General features: G+C 43.5%; 1 long non-coding RNA gene across 2 annotated transcripts; it reads right to left on the minus strand.

The window, feature by feature from the left end:
- Positions 1-1030: 1030 nt before the first annotated feature.
- LOC105374943 (uncharacterized) lies at positions 1031-3801 on the minus strand. 2 transcript variants are annotated; one of them, NR_187830.1, is made up of 5 exons: positions 3741-3801; positions 3144-3276; positions 2244-2322; positions 1761-1811; positions 1031-1444 (listed from the first exon to the last, which is right to left on the minus strand). It is a non-coding gene; the product is annotated as an uncharacterized LOC105374943 (long non-coding RNA). The 2 variants fall into 2 exon arrangements; NR_187829.1 differs by having other exon boundaries at positions 1761-1845.
- Positions 3802-18862: the final 15061 nt, after the last annotated feature.

Raw genomic sequence — 18862 nt, forward strand, 5'->3', positions numbered from 1 at the left:
AACACCAATCTTAGGTTTTACAATAGTGATGTTATTCATAAGAGTGCCTGGGGAGGTTAGGAATCTTGTGGCCTCTGGCTGCATGACTCCTGAGCCATAATTTCTAATCTTGTGGCAAATTTGTTGGTTTTACAAAAATGGTCTGTTCCCCAAGCAAAGAGGGGGTTCATTTCAGGGAAAGGGCTGTTATCATAGTTGTTTCAAAGTTAAGCTATAAATGAAATTCTTCCCAAAGTTAGTTCAGCCTATGCCCCAAAATGAACAAGGGCAGCTTGGAGGTTATGAGCAAGATGGAGTTGGTCAGGTCAGATCTCTTTAACTGACATAATTTTCCTATGTCAGATTTTTCTCACCGTCATAATTTTTGCAAAGGTGGTGTCAATCCCAGCATGTTAACGGGAGAGTAAGGGCGGAAAGCCTTGGAGCCTGATGATCCCAGAGTCTGCTCTCCCTGAAGGTAACATCCAAACACAGTTTTTATTTCAAAGAGAGAACAGGGGAAAAAGATGGTAGAAGGAAGGAGCATGAAGATCTCTTATACCTCAAACTCATCAAGCTTAGTCAATTCCTGCTCATTTCTGAAAGGGTGGAAACATTGAAATGATAGTTTCCTGTTGAAGGTAAGAGGAAAAAAGAGTGAGAGGAAGAGAAAGAAATGATTTAAATTGACATGCTTTGTCACGATTGCTTGCAAAGACCATCACTTTTTGATGATACTGCAGCCTTATCAGGAAAAGTAATTTATAGATACCATTTCAAATGGGAGGGGAGAAATCCTACAAAACCTAACAGCACACAAATGCAGAAGGAAATATTGCTTAGAAAAAAAAAAACCCCAACAAAACAATAAACTTCTCCTGTACTTTATATGTTGAAAATGTTTGACTGTAAATCCTGACTTTGACATTCATTCCAGATCCATTTTACAGGCAGCCCACAGACTCAACAGGGCGAGAGAAAACACTAAATCATAATTACCTCATAAAAGCCAAGCTTGTTTCTCTGAATGCTTGAGAACTGGCATAGCTTCTCAAAATATCATAAATTTATTGTGTTCTCTCCTGTTTTACTTAACAGCCAATGAATGTTACTGTTTAAAAGAATTAAAGCCAGGGCTTCGAAGGGGGTGAGAATGGAGGAAAATATTATAAAAGTCTTTAAACCTTGGCTAGCATGTAGATACTGTGTGTAGATTCAGCCCTCATTATGAAACGGCTCATTAAAAGACTCAGCTGAAGGAAAATCCTGCCATGATCCATACCCGTTGATATGATCTTGTTCTTATTAGCATCCTCAAAAGGAAAACAGTTTTCAACACAATCTTGAGTTGGTTTTAATGTCCTATAGGATGACACCAGAGGTGACGGCAGGAAGGCTTGCTCCTCTCTGGGAAGCTCTTCTGCAGGTGAAGGATCTGGGCCACTGGTACAGCCAATGCCATTATCTGGAGCAGCAGAATGGATCAAAACAAGGCAGACACACAATGCCCCCCACATCCCCACGGGGTCCTGAAGCCCCCAGTCACTCTGCATTCTGACATGGCCCTATGAGTTTGTCATACATTCCAAATGAAGACAAGACAATCCACATTTGTTCCAAGAGTTCACCTGCAACTTGTCATTCTCCTAAAGAGAGTCCCATAAATTGTCACTGTAAATTCTCAGCAAAGACTGAAGCAGGTGGGTTTGGGGATTCCTGGGCAGGGCACAAACATGAGCATGAAATGATATAGAATCAGGTGTGTTCAGGTCCCAACTTACCTCTTGTGTGGCCTTGCGCAAGGCACGCTGTTTGGACCTCAGTTGTTGGCTCTGGAAAATGAAGATGTCAGTGACCATCCATGACCTAAGTGGCAAAGCCATTCTAAAATTACTTAGAATGCTACTTTTGTTTTATATAAATCTCTCTTTACTATTGTATCAGGGTGACAAGGAATAATGCTTGGGCACTAGGATACATATCCCAACAACTGGAAAGGCAGTGTGGCCATTAGGACAGATGACAGCCTGCAACAGATGAAGGCCCAGTATGGCTGGCCCAGTATGAGCTGGCTCAATGTCCATCCTGGCCCCTGATGACTGTGAAGATAGCCCTGAGCAGAGGCCTTGGAAGAGAAAGGAAAGCAAGATGATGCAGACAGCCAGGAGATGGCCAAGAGGAAGGTGAGCGTCTGAAACTGGACTTAAAGAGAGAGCTGAACTGGACTTGAGCAGAAGGAGCATGTGCTTTGGAGCCAGACTCACCTGGCTCAGATCACATCTCGGTGCCGAATATATGGCTTGAGGCAAGTTACTCAATTTCTCTCAGCCTCTATTTTCCCACCTGTAAAATGGAGATAAAATGAAGTGTCATCTATGAGACAAAACTAAACATGAGGCAAGATATATCATGTGTCAAAATTTATTCTTTTTTTTTTTTTCTTTTTGAGACAAGGTCTTGTTCTATCACCTAGGCTGCAGTGCAGTGGCATGATCTTGGCTCACTGCAACCTCCGTCTCCTGGGCTTAAGCAATCCTCCCACCTTAACCTCCCAAGTAGCTGGGACTACATGCGTGAGCCACCACACCTGGCTAATTTTTATATTTTTTGTGGAGATGGGGTTTTGCCATGCTGGCCAGGCTGGTCTTGAACTCCTGAGCTCAAGCAATCTGCCCTCCTTGACCCTCCAAAGTGCTGGGATTACAGGCCTGAGTTATCATGCCCAGACAAAATTTATTCCTGATAATTCTTCAAAATGTTTATAAAGTTTCTCTCCTAAATCATCTCCCAGTGGGTATACACGGCCAGCTTTTCTTCCACAGTGAAACAGATCAAATTCTTGGCCTCAGTTTACAGGCCATTTTGGATGAAAAAAAATTAGATTGTAAATTGAATCATCAGAATCATTCTGGTGTTGTGACATGTTCACACCATGGGAAGCATCCCGGGAACAGAGATAGTTTGAGGGAACTCACATCTTGTGCATTCTTTGGGTCTAAGTTCACTGAGTGGAATTGGGAGCAAAATCACTTGTGCAAATTATATTAAATTCATCCTCTAGGTCCTCTTCCTCCATCCCTCTCTCTTGGTCAAGTATGCACAGTTGATTTTGTCTAGGTTGAATAAGCCAAATGTGTGCAACTCCATTATAATTGTAGACATACCTTGCATGCTTGTTGTGAAGAGTAGGAGAGTTAGTGCATGTGAAGTATACAGTGTAAGACTTGATATGTACTCAGTCAATTCATGTTACCATTGTCCTCCCTCACATTTGGAAGGCTCTATTTGTGACCACTCCTGGAGAGAATTAGACAGACACGCTATGACAACCTGACCCTCCTCTAACATCTTGATCCTTGAATAACCTTGAAGGTGGCAAGTAGTTAAAAAGGAGGAAGGAAGGAGGGAAGTTGAAAGAGGAGGAGAGGAAGAAAGAAGGAAGACCAGAGAATATCTGTGTCGGTGGAAAGCATTTCAGTAATGATAATACTGATGTCTGGTATCGCTGGGGAGATGTGACAGCTTGAGTCTATGTGTACTACCAGCTAATATTAATGAATTATTTATCGATCATTTTCCTCACCAGGGACCAGGCATTGTACTATGGCTTTTCATGTGTGACAGAAAAAAAAAAATCAGTAATAACTGTTATTAGAAGACCATGAGCTCTATGGACGAAAAAGGGAGAGTTTTATTTTCTATAAAAAACGATCTGCAGACTGGGGAGGCACAGCCTTCATCATAAGTGAAAGTGTGCTCACCAAGGAACAAAGGGAGGGTCTGGCTTAAATAGGGAAAGTTCTTGCCGTGGTTCTTGATCTGGCTTATTCATGCAAATGGCAGATTTAAACTTGTTCAGTTCTGATTGATCCAAACAGTGGAGCCCTGACTGGGCGGTTTCCAAGCCCAAACCCAGAAGTCTCTTGTCAGATGTTTCTTTCAAATGGCGTGTGTGTGTGTGCGTGTGTGTGTGTGTGTGTGTGTTGGGGCATAGTTCTGATTGCAGTTTATCTTGGCACTGACAACAGAAATTGGCTTGGCTTGATTGTAGAAAGGAGGTCCGGTGACACTTTTACATCTTTGTGAGCTCACAGAGTACATGACCACTCCCTCACCCAGCTATGGCTGCCTGGTTCTGTTTGAATCCTGAGCACCTCAGTTAGCCACAGGGAGTCCATTTTGTCTGTCAGCCAGGGGCATACTTTAAAATAACCCAGAGTCTCTTCCCCTTTCTGTCTGCTCAAAAAAGATTCTGTGCAGCTCTTTTGATCCTTGATTCTTTGCAGAATTGGAATATAGGGCAGAACTGGAACTTTGCATCTAAACTTGGAGGAAAACAGAGCTTGGAAGACCGACAAGTGAACAGTTGATAGTGTCCTGTTCTCCTGTTGTGTACACTGCCGAGGTACTAAGCGTTAGTGTCGTGTTAGGACACATATTGCTTTTCATCCACAGTTCCTGGCTCGTAACTCCCATAGCCCTTGTTCCAGTCTTTTGTTGTAATGTTGGGTGGGGTTAGGCCTCAGGGGCAGCCCTCTAACCTCCTGCCCTCCTTTCATGCTATGTTCCCCCACCTTTCTGACTGTGGGTCTTAAGACCCTTCCATGAGAGGGTCTCACCTTATATCCTAGGGAAAGGAATGGTGACTTCATGAAGCTTCCAGAAAAATCCAAGAGGACAGGTTTCGGGGAACTTCTGGAGAGCTGAACACGGGAAGGTTCCTGGAGGGTGGCGTCCCAGGGAGGGCATGGAAGCTCCGCCCCCCTTCTCCCATGCCTTGCCCTATGCATCTCCTCATCCATTTCTTTTGCTCTCTCTTCTATAATGGACCGGTAGATGTAATAGTGTTTCTAGGGCCTTTGAGCCACTCCAGCAAATTAATCAAATCCAAAAAGGGGGTCATGGGAACCCCAACCTGAAGCCAGTCCATCAGAAGTACCAGAGAGGGCCACACTTGCGCCTTTTTGGGGGGCAGTTTTGGGGACTGAGCCCTCAATCTGTGGGATCTTACAGCATCTCCTGGTAGATGGTGTCAGAACTGAATTAGAGGACACACAGCTGGTGTCTGCTGCTTTGTTTGTGGGGGAAAAAAACCCATGCATCTGGTCACGGAAGTCTTCTGTGCTGATGATTGTAGTGGTGTGAGTGCAGAGGAAAATCACGGTTAGAGAAAGTTTTCCCTACACAAGTAGGCTAGGAATTCCTGTGTGCACCATCTCCATCACCTTTCACGTGAGTATGTCCCTATCACAGCCCCCTCTGGGATGATGTGCCCGCCTCCACTTTCGAGCTGCCGTGTGTCCCATAGCCACCAGCTACAGATTCCTTCTCTGATGATGAAGAAAAATGGTGACCTAGGGGGTGGTATTTGTGATAACCATCTGTGTCCAGAATTTTATACTGTTTCAGATGTTTATTGCAGCATATTAAGAAATTAGGACATCAGATGCACCTAAAGTTTTTTTTTTTAAATGGCCTGCCTTATTTCCACTGCCCATCCATAGACTTCTGGCACGGGAACAGCAGGCAGCTGGGAATCTCTATTTGGATAGCAGAAGAGGCAGAGGCAGGGGCAGGGCATAGAAGAGCACTCTACCCAAACCTAGGTAACAGCCCTGAGGTGTGGGTGCAATCTAAGTGACCGTTCAATACACCTATCCAAAGTGACACCCAGCCTTCTCCTCCCTACCCACTATGACTCCCTGGGGAATTGCCTTCAGCCTCCACCATCTGGTGATGCTTGATGTTTTCTGAAATAACAGAGACTGTGAGTCTTCTGAGTTTATAACAATAGCTACCATTTCTCCCTGTCCTGGGCACTTAACAAGCGCTATCTCTAGTCCTTATAACTGCATGATCTAGAGGACCACCAAGGTCCATATCACCGTTCTACTGACTCTACCACACAAATCTCTCATGGTGCTTTGTAAAGGTCTATTCTTACTCTGTCTTCCTTGGAAATGAGAAATGTAGCACATCTCTGTTAAGAGACATTTTAGATTCCTGGAAAAAAAATTCACCTTTTTTGCCTTCTCTTCTCCAGGGTGAGTAATTCTACTCTCTCAACATTTCCTTGTGAATTTCTTCTCAAACTTTCTTGTCATCATTTTTGTTTCCTACTGTGCTTAGAAAACGAGGTCCATGTTTTTCAAGTCCCTTTCTAAAGCACAATGATTCATTTTGTTATACATTTCTGATTAGTACAATATGTCTGGTACAGTCTAAATTCAACTTTAAAGTTAAATTTTAAATTGTATTAAATGTGGTCATTTGATACAAAACTGATAATTTAATCCACATTATTGCCCCCATAGCTAATATTTCTTTTGCTATAAAATCATAGCTAGAAAAATTAAAAGATCTAATAAGCCAATTCTCAAACCCCCAACCATTAAAACCGAGAAACAGACGGAGTTCTGTAATATATTTCGGCTTTTTGTTTTAGTGTATATTCTTTCTTCCTCTGCAGGCTGTAATAGGAAAACAAAGTGAAACAAAAAAACACTGGACTTGAACCCTTAATTCATTACTTTTGTCTTCATGACCACAGGCAAATCATTGAACCTGTCTGTGTACTCATTTCCTCATTTATAAAATGATAGGGTTGGATTATATTGAGGGAGTTTTCAAAACTGTTTTTTAGCCATGAAAATCTTTCTTAAAAGAAATCTTATGTAGAAGCACATAACACACAAAGCAGAGAAGAAGCAGGAATGGTGAGACCCTAAGATTCACCCGCTTAGACACCCCTCACCCAACTCCCACCCACCCCCACCTCGTTTTCACAATTTATGATTTCATATACAAGCACAGCTTTTGTATGTGTGAACATTTACATTCATAGCACATATCTTGGATAGGATATACATGCAAGCGTGTGAGTTTATTTGTGTTTATATGAGTATATAGAAGAAATCCAAATCTCCCCAAGCTCCTTCAATCTGTGACTAGGAATGAGATCAGATATCACTAGCTCTGAGTCACAAAGTCACAAGCATAAGGCTGGATGGCAACCCCATGCATACTACCCCCAAGGATTCTGGGACCACCCCCCAACCCCGGGACAGTAGATGGTTTCTCTTGTGCTCATTAATAAGTGTGGGCTTGGCAGATACTGTTGCTTGTCCCCTGGTGCTCCCCTTGCCCCACTGTCTGTCCCACTGGATACCAAAATCTCTGCTCCTGCTGACTGCTGTCTCAACTGCTGCTCTTCCGGCTTGGAGTCGCTGGGTGATCAGCCTGGCCAGGTCGCCCCTTGCTGATTGACGGTTTCCTGCCCTCACTGCCCTGCTGAGCAGGTGGTGCGGTGCGGCTGCTCCATTGCAAACAGCGCCCCCAGCAGGCAGCGCTGCTATGCGACCTTGGCTATCTGAGCAGCAGCACCCCCAGTGCCATGAGTACTTTCCAAACCAAATTCTTGCAATGCGGTGGGAAGAATGCATCCTTCTTAGAAACAGTGTCACTAAACCCACAAGATTTTAAGAGTTTAAAGAAAGAGCTCTTTTAGTTTTTATTTACAACCTCCTTCCTCAATTGCCTTCTCCTCACAGGACTCAAACAAGTGGCCAGCGGGTACTGGGCCAGAAGATACATCTGAGTGACTGAGACCACACTATTCTTAGGACTGCCCCTCCCAGAGAATAATTATGACCATTTTACTGAGTCAGATTCATTGTCACTGGTTCGTTTCTCCCCTAATGCTCTCCCAAGAGGCTTCTCAGTTTCCTCTACAATATAACTTCTGTTTTCTAGAGTGTCCCAGCATGCTGACCCGACCTGGGCTCATCCTGGGCCCTCCATCACACAGAGCTGAAGCGATGCCTGGCTATGGTGTAGTCTCGTATAGATCAGGAACCGCCCATTCTTAGCATACCCTACACATGGAGGATGGGAATCTTCTAACACAATTTCATTTTAGGGTGCATATGGAAGCTCTTCAAGTATGGTAGATAGATAGATACCAAATACCTAAGTCTTTGGCTGGAATCAAACTGGAAACCTTGAGAACAATCAAACTATGCTTGGGAGCAAGAGGCTTCAGATTCAGTTCTAAGTAGAACACTATCCTATTCCATGATACTGCTGTGGATTTTTGGCAACTGGTTTTAGAAATAATACAAATAAAACCTATGACCAAGAAATCTACCGAGGTCAACATTTCCCAAAGAGTGGTGCTATGTTTCCTGAAAATAAACAAATATACAAGCAGGTCTGGGAAACCCCACAACCTATAGCACTATCTTACATGTTTTTTGGCATGCTCAAAATTAGAGAGATACTGAGTAAGGAGGAAGCTTTTGAAACTTTCTATAACACATTGTTTTAAAATATATTGACAATGAAACTCTAAAAATATCTAACACTCTGAATGTTCCTCAGAAGTCATGTTTTATGGAGTGTATTTTGAGAAAATTTAGCCTAAAACAGGGTGAGCAAACTATTTTTTTGAAATTAAAAGTTCAGTTTTGTGGGCCCCACATATAGAACCTACCACAATTACTCCGCTGTTGTAGCATGAAGGCCATTGTAGATGATACATAAACAAATAAGCTTCACCGTGTTCCAGTAAAACTTGGATTATGGCCACTCAAACGTAAATTTCATATAATATTCTATGTCACAAAATATTATCCTTTTGACTCTCTTCAACTATTTAAAAGTACAGAGAACATTCTTAGTGCAAAGACTGTAAAAAACAGGGGATGAGCTGAATTTGACCTGTGGGATGTACTTTGCTGATCCCTGTCTTAGAAGTACTAAAAGCTAGTGAAATCGCAGTGCCTGTACAGATACCTGAACCTGAAGTCCATGGAGCAGAAACCCTGTGTGTTTATTCTCCACTGAATCTCCATGCTCTGTCTGCTGCATGGCCAGTGCCTGTTTGGTGAATGCTCATAAATATTGAATGAGGGAATAACCAGCAGTTCAATTTACCTGTCAGTAACATGTGCAGAATTTGGTTTCTCAAAGTTGTTTTCTTTTGTCGCTGTTGTTGTTTTGGCCCTGTTTGCTGGGTATCTCAGTGTAAGTAGTAAATAGAATCCATGGCTCTGATGTTATTCAATGCCAGAAAAGAATTTCACACCTTTTGAAACACTATTTGATGGCAGGCAAAGACTGTTGCAGCTGCCTGGGGTATGAATTAAGGCCAATAATAATTAGACTGACTCTCTAGAGTAAAGATAAATGTATGATACAAGTTTCCCTGTCTTCACGACATGGGAATTTAGATGCAGTGGCAATACTTACAGCCAAGTAGATAACTGTTTCTAGGTATTTCTTTTATTCATGGCTGCCTTTGTACTTACATTTTGGAAAGGGCTTGCCTTGGTGTCACCCCTGCTTGTCTCCTTCAGTCTCACCAAAATCTGTTACGACAAGTCTGATTTCCATGCTAGGAGTCTTGTCCTTTGGAAGTTTCCATTGGTTTTACGGAGTTGTTGGATAATACCTGCTTACCTGGCGGTGGTCCCATCTTTTCATGAATGCATTCCCTACCCACTCCAGCTCTCTGCACTCTGCAGAACTCCTTCCTCTGGACATACTGATTGATTGATGGACTGATTAATTAATTCATTCATTTGACAAATGTTCACTCAGCAGCTGATATGTGCCCCACACACTGCCATGCACTGGAAATACAAAAACGAAAAGCAAAAACAAGAACTCCTCCCTTCAAAGCATTCACAATTTAATGGGAAAGCCAGAGAAACAGTCCACGAGGAAAACTTCAGAACTCGGAACAGCTCTCCACAAGCTCTTAACCACACACAGCCTGATAGCTTTCCTTCTCTTTTCAGGGGCTGATGCTGCAGCTCTCTGACTGATTATGGATTCTTGAGGGCAGACACCATGCCCTTGGTCTGTTTCACCTCCAAAATGCCTAACAGAGTGAATACTTTTATACTGATTCTCATGAAGTGTCTGATGATAGATTTTTGCACCACGAACAAACTAGAGAATCGACACTGAAGACTTTATTTTGCAGTTTTGACACTGTGCGCTTTGTTTCTTCATGATCTGGGTTCACCCAGACTTTTGCACTTTGGGTGACCAGTGGATCCAATGGGGGAAAAAGCAACAGTGGGATCTGCAGCCTACTCTGGTTGGTGCAGGGCAGGTAACAGGGCAGTAGTAAACAGGAGAGGGTAAGAAGGGATGAGCTGTTTCCTTGATATCCATCCTCCCTCCCAGGATACAGGCCAGAGTGTTTGGTGGACTCTTAGTAACTGAAAGAACCCACCTTCTAGGACTAGGTGTACCCCATCCCAGCAAGAGTGCCCCACCAGATCAGATCCTGTTGCAGATGACAAGGGGGAGGTGGTTAGACTTTGTTTCTGTAGCATTTTCAAAACAATAGAGCAGCTTAGGCAAAATGGCTGTGCCAAGGAGTGAAGCAAGAGCCTAGGCAGCATGAGCCCTACCCAGTCCCTGCCATCACCATTGCCAGGCATATGTCACCCTGGCCACCTATTCAGCATGGGTACACTGGGCACTCATGGCTCGGTTTTACCCAGAGAGGTGGTGGGGTCTAGTGGTAGGGCTTTGGAATTAAGGATACATACATTGATGCAGTGTCTTATTCTCTCTTTGCAATCTGGGACAAAAGACTTTTTCCCTCTGAGCCTTAGATTTTGCATCCATAAAAGGAGGGAAATAATACCTTTTGCTGTTGTCATGAGGATTGCATGAGAGAATGTTTGTAAAGAGGAAGAAAAGGTGCACCACAAATGGTACCTGGTGTTATTATCTTTCTACTACAGGGCTGTTTTCAGTTCCATGTTCACTTCTGATCAATGCAGTATGTGGATCTGTCAACTCTCCAGACTTCCCTGTTTTCCGCAGTGGGAAGTCAGCCTGATTCACAATGGTATCACCTCCTGGCTCTTGGGTTTGACTTTCCAGAGATCTAATAAGTGGCTCCCATTCCTCCATCGGTTTCTCATCTTCATCCATTGCAGTTCCAGATTACAGATGTCTCCTGCCCTTATAGAATATGGGTTTCACTATTGTTTCTCATTCTCTTTATTGTTTTGGAGCGATTCTTGAAAAAAGGAGAGTGGAACCATCTTTGCTCTGTCATCTAAAAACTTGGTTACCTTTTCAGATACATTGATAAGCACAACACATAATAAGACATGTTAGAATTCAAAAACAAATCCAGATCTTCCCCCTACTCTTTCTCTTTCCCTAGTCCCTTAAATATAAAAGGGACACAATAGCTCGCCTATTCAAGTGGCAAGGCCCGTTTCCTCACCATCAGCACATTCCTCCTGCCCTCTCCCACAGGCCCTGCTCATGGATGGGGCAGTCAAGGCTGGGATTTGACTGACTTGCAGGAATGTGGAATGTAACCGGAGGGAGGAGAACATTACAACAAACCAGCTGCTCTTCAGAGGTTGATTTTCATTTTGGAAAATAGCAGAAGCAATTATCATGGCTCATTAGGAGGCCTAGCATACCGGCTGCAAAACTATATTTGGAAAACTGTATTCACTTAGCTCTAAAGTGGTGAGAGGGTGAGGACAGGCGGGAGGAAAAGGAAGGACAGACCAGGGCCTGCCTGGGCTTAGATTCAGTCTGCAAAAAGGTGATCTGAATTGAATTCTGAGAGGGACAAGAGATGAATGGAGCTGGGACACTAGGCCAAGCATAGCCCTGAGTCTGGAGGTGCTGAACACTGGGCGGCTCCAGCCTTTTGGAAAATTGGGCTCGCTCAACGACAGACCCACCTACCAAGTGGGAAGTGGGTAAAAGATGTACTCTGTTCAATGTGCCTTGCTGGGAACGTTCAGATGTCCCCTCAGCCTCCCCAGGGAGCTGTGGTGTGTGTTTGGGGTCTACTCTGAAGTTTGCTACTCAGTTACATCAGGGGGCAAGGACCTGTGGAACAGGTTTCCATCTTGGTCATTCTGCTGCCTTCTGACTAGGAAGAGTTGACTCCACAGGCCACTAGCTCATGTCTTCTGTTTGCTCCTAACCAAAGGAAGGGTCTTGTGATGGGGATGACATAACCAGGTCAAGAAAAGGATGGTTTGGGAAGCTTATGGGGGTGAAACTACCCCAGAATGAACTTGAGAAAAAATCACCTCTGTTTTCTTTTGTTGGATGAGAACGTTTTGGGCCCTTCATATAAGTTGTGGGATGGACCTATTTAATTTGCACTTGAATATCCCCCAGTGTTGGTATGGTCCTTTATATTTTATGAAGTACCTTTACCAGGGCTGGCTGCTGAGAACTGCTTCCTGCTTAAAAAACAAACAAACAAACAAACAAAAACTGGGAGCTCCTCCAGTAAGGATAAAGATGGAGAAAATGATCTTTATATGTCAGGTATATCAGCATTCAGGTCCTTTGGGATCTGACAGCCCTGATAATGTGTATTAGTTTCTCCTGCCCCATTGATGACATCTGGCTTTCCCATAAAATATCTTACTTAAACTCGGGTAGATATGATTGTTTCCATTTTAAAGGGGAATAAAATGTTCAGAAGTTGTTGTTGTTGTTGTTGTTGTTGTGACGGAGTCTCGCTCTGTCACCCAGGCTGGAGTGCAGTGGTGAGATCTTGGCTCACTGCAAGCTCCGCCTCCCCGGTTCACGCCATTCTCCTGCCTCAGCCTCCCCAGTAGCTGGAACTACAGGCACCCGCCACCACGCCTGGCTAATTTTTTGTATTTTTAGTAGAGATGGGGTTTCACCATGTTAGCCAGGATGGTCTGGATCTCCTGACCTCGTGATCCACCTGCCTCGGCCTCCCAAAGTGCTGAGATTACAGGTGTGAACCACCGCACCTTGCCCAAGAAGTTTTAATGACTTGTCCAGGGCCACCCATCTACATAACAGCATGGCTGAGACATGAAGTCAGGTAACTCTAGTTATTTCTACTTGACCATAGGGCATTAGTCAGGAATGTGTCATCTGTCACAGAAAATCTCGGTGGCAAGAACTGAAACATGTAGAGATTGACTTATCTCTAATCTAGGGAACTTGCCACAAAGAAGCCAGCTTTTCTTGTCTTTCTGGTCTACTGTCTTTACTTAGGTACAGCATCTGCCCTCAAACTCATAAGATGTCTGCTGTTCCTCTCAGCATCCCATCCTCATTCAATGAAGAAGAAAGGAAGGAGGTTGAATTTGTTTCCTAAAGCTCCCCTAACAAAGTACCGCACTCTGGGTGGCTTAAACAACAGAGATTGTTCTCTCACAGTTCTGGAGGTTGGAAGCCTAACATCAAGGCATGGGCAGGGCCAGGCTTTCTCTGAAGGCCCTACGGGGGAGTCCTTCCCTGCCCCTTCTAGCTTCTGTAGGGCCAGCAATCCCTGGTGTTCCTCGGCTTGTAGGTGCAACTCCCCAATCTTTGCTTCAAATGGCCTTCTAACCTGTATGTCTGTGTGACTCCATCTCCAAATTTCCCTCTTCTTATAAGGATACCAGTTCTATTGGATTCATGGCCTGTCCCGGTACAGTAGGACCTCATTTTAACTTGATTACATTTACAAAGACCCTATTGCCAAATAATGTCACAGGTATAGGTGAACATGAATTATTTGGGGACACTATTCAGCCCATTACAAAGGGTTAGAGGCAATACCAGCAGACTTCTGTGTTGTACGGCCACCTCGGTTGCATAGGATCCTAGAAAACCAAGTAGAGGTTGGTAAGGGACAGAGAAGTTGCAATAGAGATTAGGTAAGTTTGACACACATTGCTATTGTTTAATTCACTTTTTTGTTTCAGATGAAAGGAAACTAGCATCTAATGAGATCACACAGTAGGCTTGCCTCATTTTTGCATTATCTAATTTACTATTGTAGATCCTTTCCATGCATCCTCCCTATTGGACTGTCAGCTCAGTGAAGGCAGGGGCTGCATCTTCTATTTCTTTTATATAATATACAAATTAGAGGTCAGTACACATAATGCTGGATAAATTACTGCCCAGCCTTCCTCATTCTGTGCTCACTCATTCTTTCCCAAGAGCCTCCTGATGTCAGCCGTGGACACTGACCCATGTTTGATATTGTTTTCCTCTCCAATTCCTCCTCCTCCTTTTTCTTCTGTTCCACCTCCTTCATCTTTGTTTTGTTTTGTTTTGTTTTTGGTAAAGGAAATGAGCGACATTATATTTCATAAGTAATTCAGTGGGCTGCTCCTCCCGTGGCTCAGCAAATAAATTCCTTCTAGGTTCTCCTGCCTTGGAGGAACTGTGGATGAAAATGACTACAGAATAAAGGATTATTACTTCAGACGAGATCGGGGGCATTCAGGGTGGTATGGCTGTAGACAGGATTATTACTTCAAGAAGCTGAATTCTATTAATAATCCTAAAATGAAATCCAGGCCTGTATGCTCTATTTTCTATAGCCCTTGATGGAATGTACACACTTACCCTCCCAGTTTCTAGAACCACTCTAATTTGTCTAATTTGTCTTTTGTTTTAGAAACAAGGTCTTGCTCTGTCACCCAGGTTGGAGTGCAGTGGTGCAATCCTAGCTCACTGCAGCCTCAACCTCCTGAATTCAAGCCATCCTCCTGTCTCAGCCTCCCAAGTAGCTGGGACCACAGGTGTGCTCCACCACACTTGGCTAAATATTTTTATTTTTTGCAGAGATGAGGTCTTTCTTTGTTGCTCTTGCTGGTCTCAAACTCCCAGGCTTAAGCAATCCTCCCAAAGTATTGGGATTACAGGCATGACCCACAGCACCCAATCCACTCTAACTTGTCTTAATCCTTGTCTTTCTGAAGGAGAAGGAGAGAGATACCAGAATCAGATTCAATATCTAAATATCATACCTATGAAGATATATATATATATATACCATGAAGATATATATATATAGATATACCTATGATATATATATATAGATATACCTATGATATATATATATATATATATGTGTGTGTGTGTGTGTATATACATATATATGTAGAGGGAAGAATGCACAGGTAGATGGAGAGATGGACAGGGTATGTGAAAGAATCCTGTGGGGTTCTGAGTGTGTCATTCTCACTCCCTTGCTTTGGACCAGTGATTCTGCCTCCCTGAAGTTGAGTGGACCAAGGCTGAGCACCTGGCCCAAAGGCAGCCAGCGATGGCAGTAGCAGTGGCCCAGAGGCGCACAACAGAAGAACTGCCTGGGGAGACTCTTCAAAATACCAGATGTCCAACTCAACACCAGATGGAGATTCTAATTCATTATCTATCAGTCAGTCTTCAGGAAGTGTATTCTGATAAAAGCTGCACGGTTGCTTCTGATACGCTGCCCTGTAAGGAACCCCTATGTGCTGATTTCAAAGCCAATTTTGCCCAAAAGGGGTTTCCTCTACTGGATAGTGGTTAAGTAAGCCAATCAAATCCTTTCTGGAAGAGTGTGACCTCAGGACACCCACGGAGAGTTGGTTACCCTGGAGAACTCAGAGCAACAGAAGAGGTCAGACCATAACTCTGTCTCATGAAAATGCAGACATGGCGTAGGGAGGGATGGGTGCATGATCTGAGGGGATCGTGGACGGAGTTGATACTGTGCCGTCAGAGGAGCCGTCAGGTTACAGGGCTTCAGCTGCATCCTAAATAGTGAAGCACTGTGTTTCATTTCTCAGTAGGGCCTGGTTGCGGGCTCCAGAGATTATTTCCTCCTCCCTTATTTGCTGACATAGCCCTCATAAAAGCTCACTCACTCAAGTAATCTGAATATGTCTCTCTGTTCAGACATATGGAGAGAACTTAACAGAAAAATCGCTGGATGTATTCATTTGACACTCCTCAAACATTCATGATATATGTATTCTTCACCAAAGAAGAGGCGGTGGACAAGACAGACAGCGTCCCTCTCTGCATGCAAGAAGGTTAATAAAACAACTCGAAAGAAATCATGAAGATGGTTTCAGATGGTGGCAAGTGCTGTATTAGAGACTGATGGGAGAGCAGCAATACTTTGGATTGCTTGGCCAGGGGAGACCTCGCTGAGGAAGTGGCGTTAGGGCTCCCTACCTACATATCTATGTCCTTACCATGAGAGCTGTGATTTTAGCCTTAAAAGGTTTCTTAGAGATCATCTTTTGAATTGTTTCATTTTACAGGCCAGGAAATAAGCTCAGAGAAGGATGTAATTTGTCCATAGTCACACAGCAAGTTAGGACCAGGACATAGAATTCCTGTGCTCTCCGGCCGGGCGTGGTGGCTCACGCTTGTAATCCCAGCACTTTGGGAGGCCGAGGTGGGTGGATCAGAAGGTAAGGAGTTTAAGACCAGCCTGACCAACATGATGAAAGCCTGTCTGTATTAAAATTCAAAAAAAATTAGCTGGGCGTGGTGGCGGGCACCTGTAATCCCAGCTACTCGGGAGGCTGAGGCAGAGGTTGCAGTGAGCTGAGATTGCAGCACTGCACTCCAGCCTGGGTGACAGAGCGAGACTCCATCTCAAAAAAAAAAGAATTTCCGTACTCTCCTCATTCCATGCACTGCCCACCACCCCAACCTCTCTCTCTGTGGAGGGCTCTGTGGGGGTTGTAATTGCTCTTCCCATGGATTATATCTGTGATTTTAAAAAGGAGATGGCTTAAGAGAAAGAGATGAGGCAGAGAGCATAATGCTACTTCCCTTCCAGTGAGTGACAGCGCTTCATTCTTTTCGTCACTTCAGGCCGCTTTCTTTCTTACTTGAAGTGCCCATGGGTTGCAGGACTGCAGCAAAGAATGGAGGGCCAGGCAAATTTTGCAAATTGCAAGGGATTCCTTGATGCAGAAGCATCCCATTATGGTCTGACAGCTGTTCTGAATACCTTCCCCAGAGATTGCAGGGGAGAGGAGTGAGAGAGGGAGGGAGGGAGCATGGAGGAAGGAGAGGCGATCCTCTCTGAATCAATTAGGCATGAACTTCCTCTCAAATTAAAATAATCAGATACTAAAGGCAGTTTGCCTTTAGGTCACCCTTAGATGCTCAGGATCTCCAACAGTTTAAAATTCCTTTCCCCTTCTCCCTTACTGTCGGCCTGGGTTTCTCTCCTCCCTCCACCAAGCTCCCCCACCCTATTCCTTCTCCTTTCTTCTCTCTCTCTCCCTCACACCATGTTACCATTATTGTCAGTAGAACGAGCTGCATGCATGCCAAATCAGGTCATTCACAAATATAGAACAAACGTCTGTCACTACAGATTTACCACTATGACTAAAGCATGGCCCTTCTGTCTGTAGAAAGTGTGCCCATTAGTTTATGTGGGATCCCAGCCCCCATAGACTCTCAACCCTCTACCTTAGCTTACCCGAGGTGAGCATTCTTCCAATAAACACCCGTTTGAGTGTCTTTAATGATTTATTGTGGTGGCTCCATTTGTGTTTCTAAAGCCAAGACACAGTGGAAAGGCTTTTCCACTGAAGCCCCACTCCACCTCCAGCACCAGCCACAAAGCCATTTTCCAGAGTTTAGGGCTGAACTGTAAATATTTGTTCTGGGGTGAAACCTGCTAGAGGATATTTGCCCAAAACAAGGTAGCTAACGACACTCCATTAAAGACAATGAGCATGAACTGAGACAACTTTTCAGGAAAAAAGAACTAATTAAACATTAAACTCTAGTTCCATTATTTAGAATTCTTTTCTGGACATTTTAAATTCAACATGAACATTTACAATGATACAATCAGATCGACTCTCCTTTCAGCTAGATATTAAATTATACTTAATGATAACCAAGAGTAGAAAGAAGTGAGAAGAGAAAAATAATAACAAGGAGAAAAAGGATAAAGTGAATTTTAAATGCCTATTTATCTTTAAAATGGTCTTGCTTTCAAATGGTTTGGTCCATTTTAAAGTACAAGTCCACTGTGAGTTTTCCAAAGAACTAAAGCAAAACCAAAGGCACGCATATGTTTAAATGAGAAAATGGTAATGGTGAATATAATTCAATACTGAATACAAAATCCCCAAGAATGAGTCTTTCTGGGTTTGTTTGACAATTACCGCAGAACAGTCCAAAGAAATTTTAAAGGACCTCCAATACCTAAGATGAAAAACAAAAATAAAAGTGCAACCTGCTATCGACACAATTTGTTTCTATTTTAATTGTTGCGCTGGGTCTATTTTCACAGTTCAAAATTTTTATTTTTTTAAAATAAAGGCAGCAGAAACCACAAATGTTAAAATGAGAAAATCAGACCTGTTATAGCTGCCTCACGACATTCTCTTACCCAATTGACCCCAATTGTAAATGCCTTTGCCAGTTAATTATTACACTATGATTATTGTTATCACCATTGTTATTATTTTGTGCTTTTCTTTGATTGTTAGTTTGCCGGTTCAAGCATCATACATGGGTTATAATAGAAATTCATTACCATGTGATGGCTGTTGGGCAGCCTATGGGAAATGACTTGATAGTCTTGCAAACACTGAATCATGCAGTAAATTAACACTCATTTTCATGCACGTTTGCCTGCATGTTGATGACCTGGAAACACATGCTTACACTCCATATTTTTCCTTGTTGCTCCTCATTTGTTTCTTCTCTGGTAGGAATAGAACAATATGGGCTTCCTCCAGGGGACAAAACAACACCTAACTCTGCAGCATGGAAGGGCGAGAGGAGCAGATGGATGAAGACTATACTTAGAGAGGGCCAACAGAGCACACACAGAGAGGAAACGCAGCTACCTGGCATCACACCTGGGCACTGCCAACTATCTTGGCAGTCAGACTGCCTGGGGAATGGGAAGGCATAGGCCAGGCGGAGAGTCAGATCCAACAATGGCTCATAGAATCCATCCCTGGAGACAGGATATTCTACAGTGCTTGCTGCTGGGGCCATAGGGTTTAACAGTTCAGTCTCTCTGCACCCCAACACATACGCCAAAAACGGGGAATGGATTTAAATGGATGTGGTTTCTTCA

This window comes from Homo sapiens, chromosome 6, assembly GCF_000001405.40.
Source record: "Homo sapiens chromosome 6, GRCh38.p14 Primary Assembly".
Classification (NCBI taxonomy): domain Eukaryota; kingdom Metazoa; phylum Chordata; class Mammalia; order Primates; family Hominidae; genus Homo; species Homo sapiens.